A 22,017-nucleotide genomic window follows, 5' to 3' on the forward strand; every position below is an offset into this window, starting at 1 on the left:
TCAAAGAGCAGAGTCAAAAGGGAGGTGCTCTAGAAAAGAGGAGAGTTAATTCTTGTTGGGTGGTAACTGATTAGAGAATATTAACCTTAAGCAATGATGCATGATTTTTATAATGTCTTTAACTTTTTAGGCCAAACTAGAATTTCATTTTATCTGATGTCTCTGCAAATTTCTATGGCATAAGAGATTTAAGATTCAGAGTTGGTAGAAGAAGGACTTTATTTTTATGCAGTATATAATATGTGAATTAAGTTGTTATGAACCTATAGTATTTCTTAGTTAATCTTCAAATAAGTCCTTTAAGAAAATTCATATCTACAACTACTACCTCGGGATACTATGACCCAAAAGGAGGGCTATATATCCAAAGATTTATCTTTTATTGTTTGTTTTTGAGATTAATTATCTGTTTATGAAGTTAAATATTTGTTGGTACTATCCATCAAAAGGTAAGTTTTCTGATATTGGAAGTCTTAAAGATCAGACAAAAATGACCTTCACTTTTTTTTTTCTGATTGTTATCTCAAGAGCCAACATAAACCTACTCTTATTTCTGCCTGGCCAAATGACTGACATTTGTGTTTACCTAAAGATCTATACCTTCAGCACATACAGGCGATAATATAAAACTCCTGTGTGTCTGTTGTAGGAAATTACTAAGAAAACATAACCCCAATCCTTCACTCTATACTAGGTACCAAAATAATTTCACAGGTGATTTAAAACTCTTACCCTAATCTTCATGCCCCAAGTGCAATGTGACCTGTCTAGCCAGGAAACTAACAGAGCATTCTCTCCCTTCCTCTTTCGGTCTTGTGTTCCCCAGCTCCCAGCAGTGGTCTGTTCCCATAGTTAACCTCACAGAACAAGATAAAGCTTTCTTGCCCAATGAAGCAAGAAAAAAAAAAAAATCTCTCCCTGAAAATGCACCTCCGTCTCAAACATTTTTTCCAGAAATAGATATTAATCCTGCCCCTTTGCCCACTCAGCCAACAGTCAAAGAACCTCAGAATATAAAAATTCTCAGTAATTTTCTATGTTGCTCCCATCAAACCATTTCATTACATATGACTAAAATGGAGTAGGGAATAGAAAATAGTATGTATTCACCTCTGGAATGATCTCATATATTTTCCAAGCATGAGATCCCACTGGTTTCTCTTATGTGCAATTCAAAGATGCCTAAAAAATGGCTAAGTATTTATGGTTCAGTTAAAATATAAAAGCTTTTTCTTCTACTATTCAATACACACTGTAACAATACAATAAAAGTTATACATTACGAAAGTGATTTCTGAGCCTCAGTGAGAGGTCCATTTAATCAAATCATTGTCAGAAGTGTAGTATCTCTAGGAGAGTGACCTTGCCCAACCTCTTTGTTTATAGATGAGCTATGACTTGCCCAAGTTCATATAGTTGGTGACACAGCCATGAAAGGCTCTAGTTCTTCAAGATCATGGTACAGTATTTAACCATTTATTTTAATGTGCTCCATGATTTTCCCCCATAACATCAACAATCCCACAAATTACAGATTTCCTAATACATAAGTCAGTTTTTTAAATCTATTTTTGGAAAGAAAGGCAGTTCTTCAAATTCTGAACATGAAAAAGAATTTTTTAAAAATTTAGTGCCCAGTGAGTACTTATGTAAATGAATACAATGAATCAGATACTATAGGACAAATTAGTAAGATGGAAGCAATAGAGGCAGGAAAGCAGTAGGTTTTGTTCCTGGAAGTTTCAGAGTTTGAGCTCATTATTTAGAAGTAACCGGGAGATCCTATGCTAGTAGGCAGCTAAGACTAAGAAATTCAATCAGCCAGCCAAGAAACAACAACCACTAAAAGCAAAATAACAACAACAAAATCTACTTCAGATTTTTAAAAATTAAACTTCATAACATCTCTTACAGACACAAGTGATTCAGATAAATTGAAAATGAACATGTTGTCCAAAATTCAGCAAGTCCTTAAGTTTTCTTTTTTTTTTGAGCATGTGTAGGTGTTTTTATGTTTGCTCATGTGAGTGACAGTAAGAAAGATTTCAAAATGTGAATATGATTATGATTAAACTGTAGTGTTAATTTAGCCTGAGAAAGTGGGCTTTTTGTTAATAGATTATTAGGTAAATAGGGTATTAAATTTTTTAAATCATTTAAAAAGTTTTATAAGGATTCAAATAAAATCAAAATATCAGTTCAGGAAAATTTAAGAGCTTAAGTAGTAAAATAGTGTGGGCATTTTTAGAAATGAACATTAGACATGAATTTGTATTTGGGGAGTATTATAAATTACAACACAAATTATTATGTAGTCTTAATAATCATACAGAGATAATGTTAAACATTCATCTCAAACTATTAACCAGGGTAACCTGATATACATCTTGGTAAATCTGAGTTAATGAAGAATTATCATTTGTTTTACTAAATAGGATAATATAATTGTACCATATGTAGGAGTAGAAATATTGGTATGCTTTCTAAGTTGTTTTATTTTGCAAAATTTGATTTTCTATTTTACCTAAAAAAGTGGTATGCTTCTTAAATTTAAATCAATAGTGTATCTGTAAATAAATTTTTACTTAAGAAATAACTTCAGCATACATTCATCTGCCTTAATCATAAACAGAAAGAAGTATCTTATTTTCTCTTTATTCTTTTTTTGGAGGTCAGGAAATATGATTAGGTATATGGTACATTTAACCGTTGTGTATATAGGAGAGATTGAAAACTCTGAGGTTCAATTCCTGGGTTTGCCACTTTCTAGTCTTTTTATCTTGAGTAAGATACTTCTTATTTTTTATGATTAGTTTCCACATTTGTAAAGTAAGGATAATGATACCTCCTGTCTAAAATTGTGCTGAGAATTAGTGATAAAGTATGTCTACTACTCAGTCTAGTAACTGGCACAAAAACAAGTAGCTTCTACTAACGAATTTAGTCATCATTAATTATGATACCCTGACTAATCAATATTGGCAACACATAATTCTAAAAGATGTGCATCTGAAATTTAATGCTATACTCTTGTGTTTTCTCTGGATTTAAGAGGAATAGGGATGTGGAGAAGAGGGTTGTGGAGAAGGGGGGGTAATCAATAATCAAAATCATATTTAAGAAAAGAAGTATGATATGCTTAATAAATGTGGACAAACTGAACACTAGTTTGCACAAGTTTGGAACCAATCTCTTTAACCCTTAGTTTTTCCCTTGGTAAACAAACAGACTAAGTCATATAATGCTTGATAATTAATTATTCAAAGTTTCTCTGGCATTCAGTGTCTCTATGATTAATAATTCAGTTACGTTTATTGAGAATGCTAAATAATGGCAACTCACATTTTTCCTACTATCATTAAGACTGTCCTGTTCCAGTGATGGCTGGGAGTAAATCTGAACATAAATCAGAAAATCGCAGGAGATGTGTAGTAGTTCCTTAGTTACAACTATGAGAATGAAGTCGTACCCTTGGAGAATTCTAGTGTGTGACTTGAAATATACTTAGTAATCCAGTCACTGAAAGACTGACAGATTTGCTCATTGGTTTCTCAGATTCCGCCTAACAAGGCCTACGGGACATGGATTCTAAATGAGAAGAATAATTTCTAAAAAGTATTTTGACAGTTGCCTTTAAAAAAACAGAAACATTTTATGGCATATGTCCTTTATTTATAAGACTGATTTTTATAGATTATTTAGCATGCTTGAACCCAGGAGGTGGAGGTGGCAGTGAGCTGAAATCGCGTCACTGCACTCCAGCCTGGGCAGCAGAGTGAAACTCAGTCTTGGGAAAAAAAAAAATGTCCTCTTTCACGTGAATTTTAATAAAATACTATGATGCACATAAAAGAGAAGCAGTTGAACTGTGCTAAGCATGGGGCTTGGCCCTAGGAACACTGCGAGACTGCTGTCTGGTTAGTAAGCAGAGTCTTATATGCACATAATTACAAGATGCATGGATTCATGCATTAATAGAAGTATGATTATCCTTCCCCAACATCTGATTCCTCTTACTGAAATACAATTTTACATCTATATACTTTTTATATCTATCTATATCAATTTGTAAACATTGCCTATATGTGAACCAATCCTACTGAGAATTTAGTAGAAGTGGAGCCTGAGTTCAGAAGGAAAAAAAAAATAACAGATAGCAGAACAGGCTTAGCAGTTTTTTCCAGACAATCCTGGAGGAGGAAATTAAAAAATAGGGTTTTAGAATTGACCTGCAGGACAATTAATTAATTTATTTTTTCTTAAGAAATATTTATTGCGCTCCCCTTATGCACCAGCCATTCTTCAAGGAGGTACAGATTCAGGGGTAAATGAGAAAACAAAGAAAAAAGATTCTTACACATAGAGAAAAAATGTTTTGTGAGAAAACAGACTCCATCTGTCTTGTTCAATACTAGGTTCTAAAATAATGTCTGGCATTTAGCATACATTCAATAAATATTGGTAGAATAAAAAGAAAAAAAATGAACAATTTATACAGAAATGAATATTATTGAGGCACTAAAACCTAGCAATGTGATTGAGAATGACTGGAGTCTGGCATAGGGGCCTGCTTTTAAAATGATGGCCAAGGAAGGCCACTGGGAGATGGTACCAAGCGAGTTGATGATTTCTGCTCCAATCTCTATCTTATCTCTTTATAACATTCAATTATATGAATGTTAGAACTTCTGATATTGTTCCACAGGTATTGGACACTGTGGCATATTTTTTCTCTTTGATTTGTCAGTTTGGGGAATTTCTTTCAATAATTTTTATGGTTATATAATAATTGTACATTTTTATGGAGTACCTATGATATTTTGATACAAGCATACAATGTGTAATGATCAAATCAGGGTAATTAGGATATCCATCACCTCAAACATTTATCATTTCTTTGTATTAGAAACATTCCAATTCCACTCCTCAGTTATTTTGAAATATGCAATTAATTATTGTTAACTATATTAGCCCTATTATATTACTGAACACTAGTTCTTATTCCTTCTATCTAACTATATTTTTGTAACCATTAACCAATCTCTCTTTACCCTTCCCCTTCCCCTCCCACTACACTTCCCAGCCTCTGGTAATCGCCATTCTACACTCTATCTCCATGAGATCAGTTTTTTATCTCTCATATGTAAGTGAGAACATGAAATGTTTGTCTTTCTGTGCCTAGCTTATTTCACTTGACACAATGTTCTCCGGTTCCATCTATGTTGTTGCAAATGATAGAATTTCATTCTTTCTACGGCTGAAAAATATTCCATTGTGTATCTATACCACTTTTTTTAGTCCATTCATCCATTGATGGACACTTAGGTTGAATCCATATATTGGCTATTGTGAATAGTGCTGCAAAAAACATGAGGGTGCAGATATCTCTTTGATATAGTGATTTCTTTTGGATATATTCCCAGCAGCAGGACTGCTGGGTCATACGGTAGTTCTATTTTTAGCTTTTTTAGAGCCCTCTCCCACACCCATACTGCTTTCCATAGTGCCTATGCTAATTTACTATGTCTTCAACTTCACTGATTCCTTCCTCCATCTTGTCTAGTCTCCCTTAAGCCTGGTCAATGAATTCTTCATTTCTCATAATGTATTCTTCACTTCTTTTATTTCTCTTTGGATCTGTTAAAATATTTATTTTACAACTCTCTAATAAAATTCCACATCTTTTCATGACTGTTTTTCCACCTCTCCCACTAGATTTTTTTTTTCCACATTTATCATGGTTATTTTACGTCTCTATCTGATAATTCCAATTCTATGTGTGGGTCTGCTTCTATGGACCACTCTCAAGAATATTCTGTTGATCTTGGGCCACACTTTTTTTCCCTCATGTCTTATAATTTTTTATTGAGTGCCAGATGGTTTCTGTAAAAGAGCAGTAGAAATTTACAGAAATAATAGTCATCCCCAGAAAAGGGCACACCACTTCTCTTATTAGGCTGCTAATTAGGAGACTGAGTGGATTAAGTCTACAGTTAAGCAGAGTCTGGGTTGTGCCGCTGCTTTAGTTAGATTCGGTTCTTCATTGCCTTCAAATGTGTCGAGAGCAGAACCTTCTCTTCAGCAGGACTTGGGACTTGAGTCCCAGAAAGACTCTAGAATCTCTTTACTTATTGTTAATCCAGTAACCAACTTTCTGAACCAAGGGATATCTCTTGCTGCTTTACAGGCCAGCTCCTAGGTTTTTAGGTTGCTCGGGAGTTCTCTCTGCTCTCTAGTTTCACCATGGTTTTTTGTGCTTCAGGATATCTTTCTACTGATCTTCCCTTCCTCTAGTCTTCCAAAGAGCCACTGCAGTACAACTAGTGAAGGCCTAGAATGCACTGGGGGGATTTCTCTCAAGGCTTTTTCCCTGCCTTAGCCTTCAGCAGACCTCTTTTAACTGGAGGAGGCCCTGCTTGCCTTAGGGGGGATATCTCTCAGCTTGGCTGCCTTGGCTTTACATTTGGTTGACAATTCAGTGAAGTCCCATGAGACGGTTGGTTGATGAGTGCAGAGATGGTCCGTGCCTGGGCTTCTTGGGGTTCTCACACATCACACAACTCTAAAAACATTCATTAAAAGTTCTTTACAATTTTAACTGGTGTCTCTACAGTGACATCTTCCTTTCACCATTTCTCCAGGGAGCAAAGCAGTCATGAGTTTCTGCTCTCCTTGTCACTTTCTGAAATTTAGTTCATTTAAGTTTATTTGCATTTTCAGATTTTAGGTAAGTTTTTTAAAAGTCTAATTTTGTGGCTTATATCTTTTGTTATGGTTATTAGGGTAGGAGTAATAATCTCTTATAGCTTTCTACATCCTTACTAGAAGCAGAAGTCCTGCCTGAATTTCAAAGTCATAAGCTAACCATATGGTATCTATTATCCTAGCAGTCTGAGTTTGAATTGGAAAGGCCTTGGAAGGTTTTAAGCAGAGATTAGGCAACAACTGTGAGTCATAAAACATTTCATACAACTCTGCAGTTGAATAGTATGTATGAAAATATATGAAATGTAAAGCATTTGAGGAATAATTATAGTCGAGGTAACAATAATAATTACTGTTATATGGTGTTATATGTCATTTCTCATATTGATTGCTACACAGTTTCCAGTAATTCATTTAAAAACTTATTGTACACGTAGCCATTCCAGCCTTTAATTGTGTTCATTTCCTATATTAAGACATCTCCCCACCCATACTTTGTAACCCAAGAGCCATAACTAAATTTACAATTTAAACTAAATCAGGCACAAAACAGTCACTGATCATTTTAATATTGAAGGTTTTAAAGGACACATTATGAAAAAATTAAAATGCAAAAAGCAGCACAAAGTTAAATTAAATTATTTATTATGGAAAGATTAGTCAATCTGGTTACTTCCCTAAATTTTGCATGACTAAAATATTACAGAAAATTTCCTTTTGGCTGATCAGTATATAGATCAGAAACTCCCCAAAGAAGATGTATTAATAAAGTTAACTCATTCCTTATTAATGCTCTAGGCATTTTAACAAATGCAAAGTGAAATATCTACCTCAAAAATGACTTTAATGATAAGTTATTTCTTTGCTTCATGTACACAATGGATAATTAGTTCAGGAAAAGAATCTCAGAGGGAGAAAAAATAGCCAACTGTGAAATTCACAAATACTTTCCTTGGATTGGGTACAAATGCTATTCAGGCTAATACCAGGGATGCATAAATTCTTTCTATCCTATTTACAATCCAGTCTTGATTAGTTAGGAGCTCATTTTCCAGTTTGTGAATTATCTAGGTCTTTGATTCTTCTCTTCCCTCTGGCTGATTACCTTTCCCATTTCTCTGCTCATTAGCACCTCCACCAAAGGAAATGAAAATCCAGGTGAAAAGGAAAAGTAAATCATTCATAGATAATTCTAAATAATCTGATGTTTGGCTTTAAAAAACAATCTTTTTATTGTGCGTAAGTATATATGCATAGTTTTATTTAAGAAAATACAGTTTCTTAGCAGAACAGTGGGGACTGTGTGGTCAGATGTTCTGTGTTCAATTTGAAATTCTATCACTTACTATTTAAAAACTATCCATAGGAAAGTCCTTACCTTCATCCAGATATCAGTCTTATCATGCAATCAGGATGATATTCATATCTTTTTTGTGAGGTTATTGTGAAATCGATTCAGAGAAATACACATCTGTATCCTATAAATGGCTATACAAAACTAAGAAACTGTTATGTTTTCAATTTGTAAAACCCCTTTGTCAATTCTTGTTTCTTCTACTTTCCTTAAGAATCAGTTTGTTTTGGGGAAAAGGCTCATTGCCAAAGTATATCTCTTTTTTTCTTCTTCCTTGCTCCTTTTTAAAAAATTGTACCTTTTCTCTCTAACATGGTTATGAAATACACTGGTAGAAAGGTTGAAGAAACTGGTAGAAATATGGTTACATCTTTACCAACAAATTTCATTGACTGATTCTTCCCTGCCTCCTATTAAAATGGATAACTACTAGTTACCTGTATTAGTATATATTCTTACCAAAATGGCCCTCATTCTAATTTGTACTTTTATAAATTTTGGTTATTAAAATGAAGACATATCCCACATAGTAAAATTTTCAGTAAATTAAAGAATTCATTATACACATTTAACTGTTATATCAAAGTATACTTCATTTGTCTTATTTTAAGGATGTCTGGTTTGCCTGGTGATTAAGCTAGTAGTCCTGTGTCTCTCATGAACAGTCTCTTTTTAATTGATTTACAATTAATTGGATCATATTTGTGGATCACAGATATAGTTTAAACTGAATCAATTATCTAATCAAAAATAACAATTAAAAAAGAAAAGCAGTCATTAAAATACAGTATATAAACCCTTAAAAAATAATGTGTTAAGTATTGTTTTTTATAAGCTATTTTAAACAATAAAGAGGATGCTTTCAAGTAAATATCTTAGAAGACCTCAGGGGGAAAATGTGAAATTAGTTCTTTGTGAAAAATAAATATCTAAAGAGTATTCCCTGTAGGGTACAATGTAAAAGAATAAACTAGCTACTGGCAAAAAAGGAAGCTGGGGGAGAAAAAAAATATATAGTTATCAATAAGCCCAAAAAAGAGTAAAATGAAATGAATAGTTTGTAACAGAGCTAATGAAACACATATACTTGTAGCATATTCTGCTAAATAAAAACTTTATATTGCCTCCTACATTTAAGCCTCTCATAAAACAGTTGTGCATTTTTCTAAAATTGCTTACAAATTAGCAGATTAAATGGGCCCTTTGCACATTTTAAAGGCTTGAGGGGATAAGTAGGAGGAAAACAATTGTTACAGTTTTCACATTATCCTTTCTTTCTCCTTCTTTCCCCAGCCCTTTAAGAGAAGATTGCATTAGAGTTGAGTTCTCAACACTGATTGTTATGAAATAGTACCAAATTGATACTAAGTAAGATTACATTGGAGTTGAGATCGCAACACGAATTGTTATGAAATATTACTAAATTGATATTATGTAAGCGAGCCTACTGAACAAAGCTTTTCAGCTCTTTGAATATGAATTTTATTTTCATTTTTTGACATGAACTGGGTATGTGACAAACATAAGCAATTTATAAATTGTTTCCATTGCCTCTCTCATGAGCTAGTTTATACCATGAAAGACTCCACATTCACTGCATCATTGCCATCCCCAGGGTCTCTTTCACATGGTTCAGTGTGTTAGATGCTATACTTCCAATGTGGAAAGACAATATTCTCACCCCAAAGGCAGCCTGACAAATTACAAAATGAAGGGGTATTTGAGAAAGAGTATGTTGTAGCCAGTAATGCTTGTAAAATGACTCTTTTAAAAGGTTTGATGGATTTTCTCAAGATTCTTCTTTTACTGAATGACATGAACCACCAGCATTTTAATCTTCAGCAAAGCCAAAGCTTAACAATCCAACCAATATTTCTTTCATTTCTTAATACTATCTAAGGTCATTTTTAACTTCATGTTAATTCCCATGACTCAGTATCAAAGTGAGAATGATCAAAATGCTAGAGGGTGTTAATTGACTGGTAACTTGAAGAGTTGGGTAGGGACTGAAGAGCTAGGTAGCCGGGTGTTAGCGATTCAACTCAACCTAAAAGTAATTCCCAAGATGCATTCCAGGAAAAGGGCTATAATAATTTTAAGTTAAACCAATTTTTTAAACAGATTTATGGAAGTATACTTCTATATATGTTATATAAAGAATAAAATAATAATTTATTAAAGTATACAATAAATTATACATACTTAAAGTATACAATTTTATAAATTTTGACATATGTAATACTTTAAGACCATTATCACAATCAAGATAATGAACATATCTATTTTGCCAAAAAGTTTCCATGTGACTCTTTATAACTCCTCTCTCCCACTCATAACCCCTCTGTCCATAAGACAACCATTGATTTACTTTGTGTCACTACAGATCAGTTCACATTTTCTAGTTTTAGGATGACATAATAATATATGTACTTTTGTGAGGTGTTTTTTTTTTTGAATCTGGATTCCTTCACTTGAAATAATTATTTTGAGATTAATCCATTTTGTTGTGTGTATAATAGTTCATTCTTTTTATTGCTAAGTGATATTTCATAGTATGAATATACCACAATTTGTTTATCTTTTCAGTTGTTGATGAAAATATGAGTTAGTCCCAGGTTTTTTGTTGTTGTTGTTGTTACAAATAAAACTTCTATGAACATTCCCGTACAAGTCTTTGTATAGATATATGTTTTGTTTTCTCTTGGGTAGATATCTAAAAGTAAAATATCTGGGTCATATGATGGGTATATGTTTAAATTTCTAAAATAAACCCACCAAAGTACTGTATCAGATATATGATTTGCAACTATTTTCTTTCAGTCTGTCATCTGTATTTTCATATTTCTTTATAAACGAGTTTGAAGAGGAAATGTTTTTAATTTGTATCAAATCACATATATCCTTTTTCTCTCTTTCAAAGGCAGTAATTTTGGTAGGTATCTGACAAATATTTACCTAACAAAGGTCAAAAGTTTTCTTCAAAAAGTTTTATAGTTTTAGGTTTCTCATTTAGGTCTATGAGTATTTTAAGTTAACTTCTATATATCATGTGAGATCTGAATCAAGGCTTACTTTCTTGTTGCATAAGAACACCCAATTTTTCCAGCATATTTGCTGAAAGACTATATTTTGTCCACTGAATTGCCTTTTTGCATCTTTGTCAAAAATCAGTTGTTCATATAAATAATTTGTGGGTTGTTTGTAGGACTTACTATTCTGCCACATTAATCTATTTGCCTATCTTTATGCCAACACCAGACTATCTCATTACTGTAATTTTAACATAGCTCGGTATCAGAAAGTTTTAGACTTCCAACTTTGTTCTTTATCAATTGTTTTGTAAGTCCTTTGCACTTCCATATGAATTTCAAGATCAGCTTGTCAAACTCCACAAAAAAGGTTTGCTAATATTTTGATTGGGATTGCACTTTATCCATAGATAAAAATGGGAAGACTTGGCATCTTAACAATAGTGGCTCCTCTGATCTATGAATACAGTATATTCTTCCATTTATTAGGTTGTCTTTAATTTCTCTCAGAAATGGATTGTTGTTTTCAGTGTTCTTATCTTTCACATCTTTTGTCAGATTTATCTGTATTTCATGATTTGCTGCTACTGTAAATGATATATTTATTTTAATTTCCAGTTGTTTATTGCTTGCATATAAAAATACAATTAATTTTTACAAGCCAATCTTATATCCTTCAACCTTGTCAAACTCACTGATTACCTAAAGTATTCTGACAGGGCCAAATCTAGGATAGGCAAGTTAGGTATTTATCTCAGCTGCAAAAATTAAGGGAATGGCAAAAGTCTCAGTAATGAAGAGAAGGTGTTTTACTGTAATTAAAAAAAAAATACAATCTAAAAACAACAGCCTGTGGGCTATCTGACTGTTCCTGTAAATTAAGTGATTTTTTTGGTTGGTTGTTTCTTTGGTATATTCCATGGATTTTCTACACAGATAATCAAATTGTATATAAAGACAGTTTTACTTCTTCCTTTGCAGTCTTTTATTTTTTTCTTCTAATTGGACAGGGCAGAATCTCTAGCATAATGTGGAATGGAAGTTGGTGAAAGCAGATATCCTTATTTCACTTAGGAGGAAAGCATACAGTCTTTCACTATTTAGTATGATATTAGTTGTAGGCTTTGTTGTACATACCCTTCATCAAGTTAAGGAATTTTCCTACTATTAATTTGCTGAGATTTTTCCCATTTTAACTAGAAATAGATTTTTAATTTCTTCAAATTTTTTTTTCTATTGGGTTTATTGAGATAATATATTTTGTGTGATTATCACTATTTAGTTTATAACATATGAACTATGCTACTTTCAAATATTAACCCTATCTGGAGTTCCTATCTGGAGTTCCTTGTACTCTTTCTCTAATTGTGGTATCAGGGTGTTGGCCCCATAGAATGTGTTGAGAAGTATTCCCTCTATTTTACATTTCTGAAAGGTATGTATAGAACTGGCACTATTCTTTTCTAAGTAGTTTAGCGAATCTACTTGTGAAGCAATCTGGGCCTGAAGTTTTATTTTCTCTAATGTTATCTATTGTCTCTTGAATAAGCTTTTATAGTTTGTGTCCTTCAAGGAAATTGTCCAGTTCACTTAAGTTGATTAATTCATTTACATAATGTTGTTCATAATATGATGTCATTTTCCTTTTAATATCTGTAGAATCTGCAGTGATGTTATCTCTCTCCTTTTCTATATTGGTAATCTGTGTTTCTTCTTTTTGTTTCCTGATCAGTCTGGCTAAAGTTTGGTCAATTTTTTTCGTCTCCGCAAGGAACCAGCTTTACCTTCATTGATGTTCTCTATTTTTTTTCTTTTTCCAATTTCATTTCTTTTCCACTCTGATCTTTATTATATCATTTATTTTATTTACTTTGGGTTCAATCTGCTCTTTTTTTAGTTTTTAAAGGTAAAAATGTAGGTCATTAACTTGAGACTTTTTTTCATTTTGATACATGCATTTGGTACTATAAATTTCCCCATGAATAATGTTTTATGGCACACCACAAATATTGACATTCTGTATTTTCATTTCCATTCAGTTCAAGGTACTTTCTAATTTCTTTATGATTTTTTCTTTGATCCAAGGGTTATTTAGAAGTCTATTTTCGGCCGGGCGCGGTGGCTCACGCCTGTAATCCCAGCACTTTGGGAGGCCGAGGCGGGGGGATCACCTGAGGTCGGGAGTTCGAGACCAGCCTGACCAACATGGAGAAACCCTGTCTATACTAAAACTACAAAATTAGCCAGGCATGGTGACGCATGCCTGTAATCCCAACTACTCGGGAGGCTGAGGCCTTGAACCGGGAGGCAAAAGTTGTGGTGAGCCAATATCACACCATTGCACTCCAGTCTGGGCAACAAAAGCAAAACTCCCTCTCAAAAAAAAAAAAAAAAATCCAATGTGAAAATCTCTGCCCTTTAATTGCGGTGCTTAGACCATTTACATTTTTCATGAGATTATTTAATGGTTAGGTTTAACTCTTATCATCTATATACTATATGGATTCTATTTGTCTCATCTCTTTTTTACTCCTCTTTCTTCTTCTTTCTTTTGGATTAAGTACTTTTTATTATTCCATTATATATTGATTGTTGGTTTTTTGGCTATAACTCTTTGAGGCTTTATTTTAGTGATTGTTTTAGAGTATCTTTAAGGTACTCTTAGAGCATCTTTGAATTATAAAAGCCTACCTCCAAGTAATAGAAAAATTTACAAAAGGTGTTAGAACCCTAGAGCAGTATACTTCCATCTCTTTCCTCCCAACTTTCGTACTATAGTTGTACATTTAGCTTTATGTATGCTATAACCCCCATATTATCTTATTTTTTGTTTAAACAACCTATTTTCTTCTAAAATGAGTTAATTAATGGGAAAACATCATATATTTACCCATGTAGTTACAATTCTGGTGGTCTTTATTCCATTGTGTAGAACCACAGTTTGACCTGGCATCATATTCCATCTGCCTAAAACAGTTTAACATTACGCAGTGTAGACCTCCTTTTATTGTGCTTGAAAAATTATTTATTTCACTTATATTTTTAAAAGGTATGTGGCTGGATTTTGAAATCTAGGTTAATATTCGTCCTTTTCTTTCAGTACTTTTAAGATGTTGCCCCTCTGTCTCATAGCTTAGATTGTTTCTGACAATTAATCACACTAGTAACTGTTACATGTGTTTTTCTGTACAGAACATGTCTTTATTCTCTGGCTGCTTTTAAGATTTTTCTCTTTATCACTGGTTTGATTAATCTGATTACATTACTGCCTGGTATAGTTTTCTTAATGTTTCTTATGCTTGGAGTTGATGAAGTTTCTTGGGGGTTTTTTTGGGGAGGGGTGTTTTGGGAGGTTTGTAGTTTTAGGCAAAACTGGAAGCTTTGCACTATTATTTCTTGAAATTTTTTTCTGTATTTCCACAACTTCCTTCAGGGACTCTAATTACACATATATTAGGCCACTTATTGTCACCAGCTCCCTGATGGTATGTTTACTTCTCTCTCTTTCTCTGTTTGCGTGTGTGTGTGCGTTTCATTTTGGATAGCTTTTATTGTTATATTTTTAAGGTTACTAATCATTTCTTATGCAATGCCTAAAGTGCTGTTCATAGCTTCCAGTTACCTTTCATCTTATTCATTGTAGTTTTAATTTCTGGAAGTTTTATTTAGCTCTTTTATCTATCTTCCATGTCTTAGCTTTTTGAACATAAGGAATATAATTATAACAGCTTTATTGTACTTGTCTGCTAATGCTAATCTTGTCACTTCTAGGATGGTTTTAATCTATAAATTTTCCTCCTATAATGGCTTATGTTTTTCTACTTATTTACATAACAGGTAATTTTTTATTGAATGCTGGATATTGTGAATCCTACCTTTTTTGGTGCTAGGTATTTTTGTATTCCTATAAATATTCTTCAGCTTTGATCTGGGTTGCAGTTAAGTTATATGGAAACACGTTGATCCTTTCAGATCTCACCTTTAACATTTGCTGGGCATGACCAAAGCAGTGCTCAGCCTGGGGCTAATTATTTCCCAATACTTAATTAAGAGTCTTATTTATATTCTATTCAATGCTTGTGGTCATAGAGTTTTCCAGTTTGGCTGGCAAGAACAGTCACTATTCCCAGATATATGTAAGAACCAAGGAGTAGTCCATGTCATTCCTCCTTTTTTCCAGTCTCTTTGTTTACTCACATGCATGAGCTGATCTGTACTCAGTGCTGCATACTCAAGAGAACACCTGCAGGTCTCTGGAATTCTCTTTATGTAGCTCTCTGCTTTCTGTACTTTATCTTGTGAATTCTAGCCTCCTCAACTCAGGGCCTGGGGCAAGTCCTTTGTTTTCTATCTCTCAGTGACCACTCTCCTTTATTGCCTGATGTTCCAGGTCTTAAAAGCTGTTGTTTCATGTATATTCTAAGATTTTTGTTGTTGTTTCCATTGGGAGGTTAAATCCAGTCTCCATTTCCATCTAGGATGCACTAACATTTTATTTTAAAGAACTACGAATGTCCTATGTCAAGAAAATACTTGGCTACATGGAGCCGTAAACTAATCACAGAACTGTGAGCCATATTACATATTCTGATTCATTTTTTGCTACCCTTGTTTTGTGAAATTAAATATATTTTATTTTTTTCTTTGCTTCTATGCTGATACCAAGAAAAGAACTCACTATTTAAGTGTTTTAATGAGAAGCTGTGAAGTAAAATGAATGAATGATATTAAAGCAGGGGAGTATAATAAATAAAACATTAAACAAGGAGTCCAAAAACTTACATGATATAGGACATATAATGAACTCAAATTGAAGGAATCACTGAAAAACATATTTAGTGAGTTAGTGTTTAATTTTTAAATTGGTAACTATTTCTGAAATGAAGTATTTTGTATAAAACCACTAGTTCACCAAGTTTTGAAAATCAATTGGGCAATATACTTTAAAAGCTATACACATGCTGTTACCTTTGACTTGCCAAATCTCCCTTTCACAACATACAAAAATATTATTTTAAAAGTAGGGATAAAAACCAAATGCATAAATATTCTATGCAATCTAATTTATGGTAGTGAATAATTACCGTGTGTCAAAATGTTATATGTAATCTTTCAAAATGTTTAAACTATCTCTGAGGGTCACACAGATGAGGAATTGAGGCTGAGAGTGTCATAAAAAGCAAGTCAGAGGAGATGTTGAGATTCAAATCTGTTCTGACTCTAAGCCCTCTGCCTTTAGCTCCTAGACTACAACTCTAGAAAAACAGAATTTTGTTAGGATAAGTGGGCATGGATGTTTTTACTCTTAACCACTCATATTTTAAATTTCCACTACTATTATGATATATTCTCTTTTTTTGTAAATTAGAAGAATATTTTTAAATGTCCACAAAATAATGTCACTAGATAATCTGAGTTAAAATTTGTCCCGAATTTTGGCAAAGAAAGGAGGATGGGATGTAAGTATATATTGACTCTAGAATTCATGAATATCAGAAAATCACTACGTAAGCTCTAGCACAAAAAAACTGAACGGTTTCCTGGGGATACACTAGTCTTCCCTTCAATAGTTGCTTCAGCAGTTTCCTAATTTATTTAAAATAAATCAGCATGGGACTGTGTAGAAATCAACAGAAACAAGGACTTGACAAGCTCAAAAAATTTCAGAGGGAACAAAGGAGAAGTCCCTTCAGTACAGAGACTTACATTTCTCTTTGTGAATATCCTCTTTGGGGTACAAGGCAAAAGAACTAAGGTGATGTTCATGCTCTCGACGTTCTTTGATAAGTAACAAAAGTAATTATCTTGCACTAGCCATTGCTGGCCTGACAACAGATATAGTTTCACCTGTTACAAAATTTTATTTTTTTAAACGAGTTGTCTGAGTGACAAAAATCCCCCTATTTCTAATAAGTGAAACTTAATTATAAAAACTTCAAAGAAATAGAAGCCTACTTTTGCAGAGGTAGTCTTCGTGGAGATGGCAAGAAGACTGTACAAGGGCTCTGGACTAACGTACGCCCATCAAGTAAGCAATAAGCATCCTCCTCGCTTGCAGGACACCTAAATTTGACTCAGTTCCCTGATTCCGCCATTTTGGAATACAGAATTTCAGATGAGGCCAGGTAACAGCTCAAATCCAAGTCCAAATGGAGTCCCACTGACACTATTTTCAATAGACAGCTACATCCTTGCAAAGCATTAAGAGCTGGGCATAAAATATCCTTAGCTGGGATTAACAGCAAAACAATGCTTGGCTGATAACATATCTTCTTTCCTTGTCAGATCATTTGTTTTCTTTTTTGAAAATTTATATTTAAGATTGCCCACTTAAGAGAGTTGGAATAACACATATTCTTAATTTCTCAGGCTACTTAGGGCCAAATGAAATATTTCTTCAAGGTGTAATGGAAAGCCTTCCTGGCCTAGTGCTTTCACTCACTAGCTGTGTTACCCAAGACAGTCAATGCAATATCTCTAAATGTCAGTTTCATCATATGTTAAAATGGGAAAAAAAATCTCTGCTTCACAGATACATAAAGCCCTTAGCACAGTGCCTGAAACATATGAAATGCTCTTAATAAACTGTTCTGATATAGGAGTTTTAAAAATATTTAATAATATAGGTCAAGAGCCATAAATAACACTGGCTGTGTATGTAGTAGAATCAATTGATGAACTTTACAAAAAATACACACACATATGTATATACACATATACATATATATACATATATACACACACAAACATACATATATATTCATTGTATCCACAGGAGATTTCTGAAATGATTGAACAGAATAGGGCCTAACCATAAGTATCTTTTTTAAAGCTTCTTATAAGGAGATTCCAATATCCAAACAGAATAGAGAGCTACTGGACATAGGTTCTTAACCGGCGGTCCAGAAACTCTTTATAGAATACAGAAATCCATAAACTTGGGTGAGAAAACATTTAGACTTTTATTTTTACCAATCTTCCAAACTTTGGCATTTTTCAATCATGAATGTATAAATTAAAAATAAGGGCCCTTGGTCCCCAGGTGAGACAGAATGGACTCTTTGTGTTCAATAAGATACCAAATTATAAAGGAGACCTAACGGCATGCCAGGCAAAGGTAAAAACAAGCACCTCTGCACTTGAATAAACTGTTCTCAGTGCCACAAGGATCCTTTTTTCTTTTTCTCTGGCAGTTAAACAAGCACTGGCCTCAAGATAAGCAATATAAAAACAATTATAGCTCACTGATCACCAGATGCTGACCGACTTCCCCTCTTCCACAGTCATAACTACAGATTTGATTGGACAAGAGATGGATTTTAGCAACTTTCTCCTAATAAGGGACTACAAACCATCGACTGGTTCTGCCCAGTTTACAGAGGCTGTGCACTGAGTGCCTTCATGTCTCTGCTTCACCTTTTGATGTACACAGCCCAACTGTAATACATTCAAATGTTAAGTCTCCACTGCAAAGTGAACATTGCATGTATATAACATGCATGTTTGTTCAGCACACATGCATTAAGACCCCTTCATGCATATTCATAGCTTCTCCTATAACCTAATATGTAACTTAAATGTTAAGGCCCCTTCATGAATATTCATAGCTTCTCCCATAACCTAATATGTAACTTAGATGTTAAGGTCCCTTCATGAATATTCATAGCTTCTCCTATAACCTAGTATGTATACTTAGCCAACCCCTTCACCATAAATTCCTGTCTCACCTTTCTTCCCTTGAAGTTTCTGTCTCTGGTTTTGGCCAGAAACCTGCTTCCTAGCCCACAGGTAGTAATATTTTCTAAGTATTACTCCTTTCTAAATGTATAAATTGTCTGATTTTTTTTTTTTTTTTGGAGATTGAGTTTCACTCCTGTGGCCCAGGCTGGAGTGCAGTGGCATAATCTCGGCTCACTGCAACCTCTGCCTCCTGGGTTCAAGCAGTTCTCCTGCCTCAGCCTCTTGAGTAGCTGGGATTACAGGCACCTGCCACCATGCCTGACTAATTTTTTGTATTTTTAGTAGAGACGGGGTTTCACCATGTTGGTCAGGCTGGTCACAAACTCCTGACCTCAAGTGATCTGCCTGCTTTGGCCTCCCAAAGTGCTGGGATTACAGGCATGAGCCACCACACCCAGCCAATTGTCTGATGTTTTTAAGATGACAAATGCAATAAACCATAGTGGCACTATTGATATCTGTCACTTTGGACCAAAAGAAATCACAGAAAATCACAGTAGAGTTGCTGCAGAAATCTGAAGTACTTATACTCACCACGACATCAAAATTTGAGTAGTTATTAGACCCATCACTAGATTGTTACTTAGTGCCTTAATAAAAAAAATACATTACTATATCGTATATTTTAAGTGAGATAGTGAGAATCCTTTGTAACCCTATGAATTTTGTTTTATGCCTTCAAAAATATTCTGGAAAGAGGCTCCCAAGCTTCGCCAGAGTGCCTAAGGAGTCCCTGGTACACATAAAATGTTAAGAACTCAATATTTAGAGGCTATTTGTCAGTAAAGCACCTTCAGGAGTGCTGATGTAGATCAACTTCTTTGGAATCACTTTGAACCCAATGTGTACAATGCTGATCTCTCAGTAATTAACCGAGGAAGTGTTTTTTACAGAAATGAGGTGTATTGTAATAGATGTATATTTACATATCAATTGTTCTTCCTTATTAATTTCTCTAACAAAGCCATCATTTCCTTTTCTATCTTCACTACCTGATTCACTGCTGAAGCCCTACCTTCTGCTTCCTACTTTAACTGCCACAAATGATAAAAAATTTCAGTCTTTGCTTCCTAATTCAGTGCATTCAAAGTGCAGCATGTATTTTTTGTTAAAAAAAATTTTCCCCGGCCCAAAATACATGATTCATAAGGCGTTTGCATTGAGAATAAAAGGATTCACTTTAAACTGACTTCTGCAAGCCCTAGTTATTCTGCACATTTAATAATAAGCATTACAAAATCTCAGCTTAGGAACAAAAAGCTCTTAGTCAGTAATAAATTGTCACTACAATGATCAATGTGCCAAATTTAATTCACAGATAAATAAAAGGAAACCTTGAAAGCCAAGCAGAAGTCTAGTGTGAATGTAGGCTTTGGTATAACTGTGACAATTCAGAGATGAGCCCTCACAATATATTTCAGAGGTCTCTCTGCCTTTACATTCAAGAAGTTCATCAGCCATCTCCTCTGGTTCATGGTCAACTGGTGCTCACCCTCTCTGGAAACAGAGACATTAGCTACTGATATTAGCTGACCTATGTCCACACCCAGCACAATTCTTTTTATCAGAAAAGTTAGCTTTTGCTTAGAAGCTGCCACAGTGGGTTGAATTGTCCAGTCCCTGTCATTAAAGGTGGCAGCCATGCACTCGAGAATGATGTGAAAAAACTCCAGCAAGAGTGATAATTAAACTTGGAAAATGAAGGGTCACCTTCTTTCATTCAGCTCATTGGGCAAACCCATCAGAATAATTCCAAAACAGCGGGGGACTGTCTACTCTCAGCATGGCAATATCGAGGTGCACACACATTATTTCTATGGGTTCAAATGGGAATGCCATTTTAATGGTATTTAAAACGTTATCTTCGATATGAGGAGTAAAAATGTTAGAAATTAGTTCTAGGAATACAGAAAAAGAATGATGTGTATAATCTAAATAGGGAAAGAATCAGAAACAAGAAAAGTATGCATTTTTTTCTCAAGAAAAAGCATTCTAAGAGAAGAAAATTATCTCCAGGGAAACTGAAAAGAATATTAACTATGTCTCTTCTTTCTACTCAACTGTAGAATCACAAGGCAAGGGTTTCATCTCAGCTTTCTTGTCCACTTACTGTCATTTCTTGGTGGTCATTATTACAACAACTTACTCCTACCCAAAAAAGAGAAAAAGTGTCACATGAAGTTAAGACAATCCATTGGTAGGAGTTATTTTCCAGGAAAATTTTTTTTTTCAGACACATTAGCTTATCTAGATACTATTGAATCAGTATTTGGGAATTTATATTTCATACCATTCTCATGTTGCATTAAAATGTAATACTAGAACAGTGGCTTACACCTGTAATCCCAGCACTTTGGGAGGCTGAGGTAGGAGGACTGCTTGAGTTCAGGAGTTCAAGACCAGCCTGGGCAACATAGCGAGACATCATCTCTACAAAAAATTAAACAATTAGCCGGGCATGGTGGCATGCACCTGTAGGCCTTAGGAGGCTTAGGCAGGAGGATCACTTGAACCTAGAAGCTGGAGGCTGCAGCGAGCCATGATGGCGCCAATGTACTCTGGCCTGGGCGGGGGGACCCATCTCTAGTTAAAAAAAAATGTAATACTGAATATTTAAGGACAACATAGGCAAATGCACTGGATCAGAACAGAAGCATGGATGGTAAAAGCAAATTTCAAGTTCAAATTCTAGCTTCACCATATATTAGGTGTGTAACGATTGATATGGTATTTAATCGCTGTGTGCCTCAGTTTCCTCATCAGTTAAATAGAGAAAATAATACTACCTATCTTATAAAGTTGTTCAAAAAGATCAAATGAGCTTAAAATAAATAAAACTTTTGTAACTGTGCCTAGCACAGAGTGAGTGTTATATCAGTGCTCATAATATATTATAACCATTATTATTATGTTGCATGTTCAGTACCTGGCAGAGTATTTAATACTGTAGATCAGGTTTACAAACATATTATTTCTTTTTATAGTTGATCTTTTTTTTTTTTTTAGTCCTTATCATTCTGAGAAAGGCTTCCCAAAAGATGTGGGTCCTTTAATAAACAAATAGCTCAGCATAATTCTCATATAGAGTTAATTATATAATATGAAAACAGGGATAATTTTCACATCAAGCTCAGGAAGAGAAAAATTTCTAATAAGCAGAAACTATAGATTTTAGACGGGTCACGATAG

General features: G+C 34.1%; 1 protein-coding gene across 6 annotated transcripts in view, besides 1 other annotated feature; it reads right to left on the reverse strand.

The window, feature by feature from the left end:
- The window catches only part of DPYD (dihydropyrimidine dehydrogenase), an 843,317-nt gene that overhangs the window by 349,056 nt on the left and 472,244 nt on the right, over positions 1 to 22,017 (reverse strand). The window lies entirely within an intron of this gene.
- Positions 15,042 to 15,679: an enhancer, noted in NCBI's record as "NANOG hESC enhancer chr1:97907396-97908033 (GRCh37/hg19 assembly coordinates)". NCBI's record gives its function as "activates a minimal SCP1, AML or CMV promoter by ChIP-STARR-seq in naive H9 embryonic stem cells {active_cell/tissue: H9 hESC(naive)}" and the evidence as "EXISTENCE:reporter gene assay evidence [ECO:0000049][PMID:30033119]".

This window comes from Homo sapiens, chromosome 1, assembly GCF_000001405.40.
Source record: "Homo sapiens chromosome 1, GRCh38.p14 Primary Assembly".
Classification (NCBI taxonomy): domain Eukaryota; kingdom Metazoa; phylum Chordata; class Mammalia; order Primates; family Hominidae; genus Homo; species Homo sapiens.